At 37.2% G+C, this 5,593-nt stretch overlaps 1 annotated feature.

Moving 5' to 3' along the window:
* Positions 4,024-5,223: an enhancer, noted in NCBI's record as "BRD4-independent group 4 enhancer chr13:84091305-84092504 (GRCh37/hg19 assembly coordinates)". NCBI's record gives its function as "activates an origin of replication core promoter dependent on BRD2, P300/CBP, MED14 and CDK7 cofactors, and independent of BRD4, by STARR-seq in HCT116 cells {active_cell/tissue: HCT116}" and the evidence as "EXISTENCE:reporter gene assay evidence [ECO:0000049][PMID:35650434]".

Raw genomic sequence — 5,593 nt, 5'->3', positions numbered from 1 at the left:
GCAGACAAAAAACACATGAAAAAATGCTCATCATCACTGGCCATCAGAGAAATGCAAATCAAAACCACAATGAGATACCATCTCACACCAGTTAGAATGGCAATCATTAAAATGTCAGGAAACAACAGGTGCTGGAGAGAACGTGGAGAAATAGGAACACTTTTACACTGTTGGTGGGACTGTAAACTAGTTCAACCATTGTGGAAGTCAGTGTGGCGATTCCTCAGGGATCTAGAACTGGAAATACCATTTGACCCAGCCATCCCATTACTGGGTATATACCCAAAGGACTATAAATCATGCTGCTATAAAGACACATGCACACATATGTTTATTGCAGCATTATTCACAATAGCAAAGACTTGGAACCAACCCAAATGTCCAACAATGATAGACTGGATTAAGAAAATGTGGCACATATACACCATGGAATACTATGCAGCCATAAAAAATGATGAGTTCATGTCCTTCGTAGGGACATGGATGAAATTGGAAAGCATCATTCTCAGTAAACTATTGCAAGAACAAAAAACCAAACACTGCATATTCTCACTCATAGGTGGGAACTGAACAATGAGATCACATGGACACAGGAAGGGGAATATCACACTCTGGGGACTGTTGAGGGGTGGGGGGAGGGGGGAGGGATAGCTTTGGGAGATATACCTAATGCTAGATGATGAGTTGGTGCAGCACACCAGCATGGCACATGTATACATATGTAACTAACCTGCACAATGTGCACATGTACCCTAAAACTTAAAGTATAATAAAAAAATAAATTTAAAAAAAATAAAAAAAAAGAAGTGCAGAGCATTGAATAATAGACTAAGTAGTCAAGAAATATATTATTCATTAATCTTTAATCATTTGCTAGATAGGATTTCTTGTTTTTATTTTCATACATTTTATGAAACTTGAGAACCAGAGCATTTTCTCAAATATTCAAAGAATGTTCATAGCACCACAGGAAAAGATATTTCCAAAGATTCCCTCTGGCACAGCAGGAAAAAACATGCTTTTGAATATCCCTGTATTTTCTAACCCCATCCATCAGTTTTCTAACTAAATGTCAGTTTTTCCTTCAGAACATAGAATATAAAATAGACGATTTATTAAATGGATAAAAGAATAACTTTCTCAAGTCTCAGGTAATCAAATTAAATACATAGAAAACAATAATGCAGCAACATCAAATCTCTATAAATTAAACATAGTCAAACTAAGAGAGTATACACAACAGCTGGCATTAGATTTAGCAATAAGTTTACATTCAAATAGTTATTTTAAATACAAAAGAAAAAGCCCTGCAACTTAACAGATTACTAATTACTTACTATTATTACTACTGTCTATCATTTCTTCACTTTCTATGTGTCAAAAACTATGCTAAACTATACATATAAGTATAATTATATACTATATAATAACTTTATATTTATTACACTTTGTTTGCTCCTCAGAACCATGTTTTATTTGAAATATCATTATTATGTCTATTGTAGAAGTAAGAAAACTGAAGCATTGGGAGGCTGAGTAAATTGATAATATTCACATATTTATTTAGCATTATGGTTTAAAACAGTCCGGCTGAACAAATGAAATTCACATTACATAAATGATACATAGATAACCAATAACTGGATAAAATTATATATGTTATATGCATATATAATATGCATATATATATACATATAAAACCAATAATTGTAAGCACATTCATTCTCACTCACTGCCACAGAAACTCAAATTGTATTACCATAGACACTTTGTTTCTGTCATGAGACACCTAGTGTATTTTGCTAAGAACTTGGCAAAATAATTATTTGTATGAGTGAGTAGGGCAAGAACTTTTACATTGTCTGGGTGACTTTCTCAATCTCTTATAATTTACATCATATACTACGTTTTCTTAATGTGCCTTAATTTACTGAATTACCCTGCATCCTGCAGTTTTAAGAGGTTAATACTATCCTAGTATTTGATATTCAATTTGTTGTAAACTACATATTACACTCACTGAAGTAGAAAAATAAACAAACAAATAAATACATTCTAGTCATTTGTATTTTGAGCTTTAAAATAATCGGTAACACCAATGGTGGCAAACATCTTACTGCCTATTTGGAAGGGCCAATTTTATATCTGAAGGACATCAGCATTATGGACCGTAGCAACTTATGGCTTTCCTATGAAAGACATTTCTATATATCACTTTTCTTTCGAATGTTTTATCTCAATTTGATAATTCAAACATTGTGTCTAATTCATATATCTAGTATCAGTTTCTTTATAAATTACTTTCAAGAGGTTTTTTTTTCCATATATGACTTGTGGTAGGCTTGAGTATGCAATAGAGTGCACATTAATTCATTCACCAACTTTACTTTTAGTATGGGACTTTTTTAGTCTAGAAGAGGGTGAAAAACTAGGCATGACATCTGCTGTTGGAGATTACATTCTTAACAGCAAACCTAGCAAATAAATATAAAGTATTAACTCTGATAATTGTTGTAAAGGTGTGGTGCTATGAGATCAGATAATACTGGGAATTAATTAACCTAGTAAGTGTGGCCAGTGAAGACTCCTCTTTTACTGGTGACTTCGCTGAGATCATTTTTCATTTTCTAAACTCAGTTTAACTTCTCCTCCTATAATATGGCCAGAATGGTGGGGATTTCAATTTGCTAGGGCTAAAAAGCCCTGACTTCTTGAATTTATTCTTCAGTGTACAACAACCCCCAACTCTTCCATGTAAGATTTTGCTACTGTCGCCACTTACTGGGACATAGGCAAGGGTTTTTGCTTCTATTCAGATCCTAAATCCTGTCATTCCCTATATTGATGGAAAATTTTCCAATCTTGAGGGAAGCTGTTTCACATTCTGATGATTTTGGTCACCCTTTTTTTAGTCTTCAAGACCTAGAATCACTTTCTTATTACAAAAAAAGTAAGTTTTTCCTAAATTCTTTGGTTTTTTCACCTAAAGACACCTAATTCTACATTAAGGACGAGGGATGCGCCAGTTGTCATGCATAACACCAAGCTTTTCCTTTGAAATAAGTGGAGGAGCCACGTAAGAAGCTAAAACCAGTTTGACTCTTAATTCTTTTCACATTTTCCTTCTAATTATCTGAAGCAGTGCGAATGAAACATAAAGGGGCATTTCAATGAATAATCTTGCCAAAGACTCAGTCAATGCTAATTCTAATCATATATTTCAATGCCTAGCATGTGTTAAAATGGAATGACAGCAATTGAACCAAACCTTGGCTACCATGATGAATAAAACACAAGATTCTCTGTGGAGATAGAGCTTACATATGAGTGGTAAAAATATTTTGATCCTTTTAGAAGCTGACTGAAAGCAGAAAACAGTTCCCCCTCACGTTGTTTATTAGGAATATGAAGTAGCATAATGGTTACATACTTTTCAAGTATATTTTTTAAAAGTCAATGACTTGCCTGCAACAAAATTAGAAGTTAGCTTTTGTTTAAGTGATTTAAAATTTCATGTATTTAACTTCTAATTGACTTTTTGCTAGTTTCCCTTTGTTATTCAAACTATTAATTGCCTGCCTCTCCGATTTAGTTGTTTCCAAATAGTCCTCTCTTTTAATGTTTTGTTTTTTAATTGGTTTCTTAATTCTCGTAAGATTTTAGGAGTGTTGGTTTTAGTTACATGTATATTCATGAAGGAGCAGAGCAAGCTCGCTATGAAAACGTACTCGAATTTTAATGTTAAAAATCCAAATATTTCTGATCTATTTTAAACTTTTATTTTCCTTCAACCTCACATATCTCTGTTTTCATATGCATGTAAATTCCCTCCTCATTTTTCTTTTCCATTTTTTGAAATTGATAAATTGTATTATTCACAACTTTACCTGGAAAGATATAAATTTATGAAATTCTTCTCATTCATTGCCTATACAATCCTTCCCTATATAGAACCAGAACAGCCAATCTGTCGAAAAGTGTAGTCAAACAAGGTCAGTGAGTATATCAAGGTCAGTGAGCATAATTCCTTTTAGGATGAGCATGGAATATCAAGTAATCAATCTGACTTTTATGTGAAGAAGGTCTGTGGTTTGAATTGACTGCGTGTACCAAAGAACTAAAGATAGTTTGAAATTTATGAGGCAGTAAGCTACCTATAAGAGCCTAGATGAATCTAGACAACTCGAGCTCAAACATAGGTAGAGGTAAAGGTTATGGTGAACTAATAAAATGTTTTTGTGTATTAAACACACCATTTTTAAAGACAAATAATTTCTATTTTTACCATAATAAGTTTTTTTTTTAATTTACAATAGCTTATTTGCTTGTCTATCTCCTATTAGACATGAACTCTCTAAGGACAGAAACTATATTTTAATTTTATCATCTTTTTAACACCAATATGTTACACATTACCTGTTACATTGTAGGTTTTCATTATATCTTGATAAATCAAGGGATACTGTGTCCAGAATTGGTGGGTTCTTGGTCTTGCTGACTTCAAGAATGAAGCAGCAGACCCTCGTGGTGAGGGTTACAGTTCTTAAAGTTGGTGTGTCCGGAGTTTGTTCCTTCTGTTGGGTTCGTGATCTCACTGACTCCAGGAGTGAAGCTGCAGACCTTTGTGGTGAGTGTTACGATTCTTAAAGGCGGTGAGTCTGGAGTTGTTTCTTCCTCCCTTCCGGATGTTCCTCCCTTCCAGATGTTCCAACCTCCCAGTGGGTTTGTAGTCTAGCTGGCCTCAGGAGTGAAGCTACAGACCTTAGCGGTTAGTGTTACAGCTACAAAGGTGGCACAGACCCAAAGAGTGAGCAGCAACAAGATTTACTGGGAAGAGGGAAAGAACAAAGTTACCACTGCATTAAAGAGGACCCCAGCAGGTTGCCCCTGCTGGCTGGGGCGGCCTGTTTTTATTCCCTTATCTGGCCCCACCCACATCCTACTGATTGGTCCATTTTACAGAGAGCTAATTGGTCCGTTTTACAGAAAGCTGATTGGTCTGTCTTGACAGAGCACTGAATGGTGCGTTTACAAACCTTTAGCTAGACACAGAGCGCTGATTGGTGCATTTACAATCCTTTAGCTAGACACAAAAGTTCTCCAAGTCCCCTACCCGATTAGCTAGAGACAGAGTGCTGATTGGTGCATTTACAAACCTTTGGTTAGACACAGAGTGCTGATTGGTGCATTTACAAACCTTTAGCTAGACACAAAAGTTCTCCAGGTCCCCACCAGACCCAGAAACCCAGCCGGCTTCGCCTGTCAATGGCACTCGCCATGGGACTTTGTGGCACCTAGCCAGGCCACTCCAGCAGCCCAGAGGGAGATCGTCCCCCCATCAAGCCCAGCAGGCGCTGGCTGGCAGCTCCTAGTGCTGGCCCTCGGAGCCTGCGCCCACCCCGAAGCTGCACCGGTGTAGGAGCGGGGCGCACAGCCCCTGCTCCCGCCCGCGCCTTTCCCTCCACACCTCTCGGAGAGCAGAGGGGAGCCGGCTCCGGCCTCGGCCAGCTCCAGAGAGGGGCCCCTACAGCACAGTGGTGGGCTGAAGGGCTCCTCGAGAGCGGACGCCAAGGCAGAGGAGGCGCCGAGAGCG

Source organism: Homo sapiens, chromosome 13 (genome assembly GCF_000001405.40).
Source record: "Homo sapiens chromosome 13, GRCh38.p14 Primary Assembly".
Lineage (NCBI taxonomy): Eukaryota > Metazoa > Chordata > Mammalia > Primates > Hominidae > Homo > Homo sapiens.
Note: the sequence above shows the minus strand (reverse complement) of the source record. Positions and strands in the feature narration are given on the sequence as shown.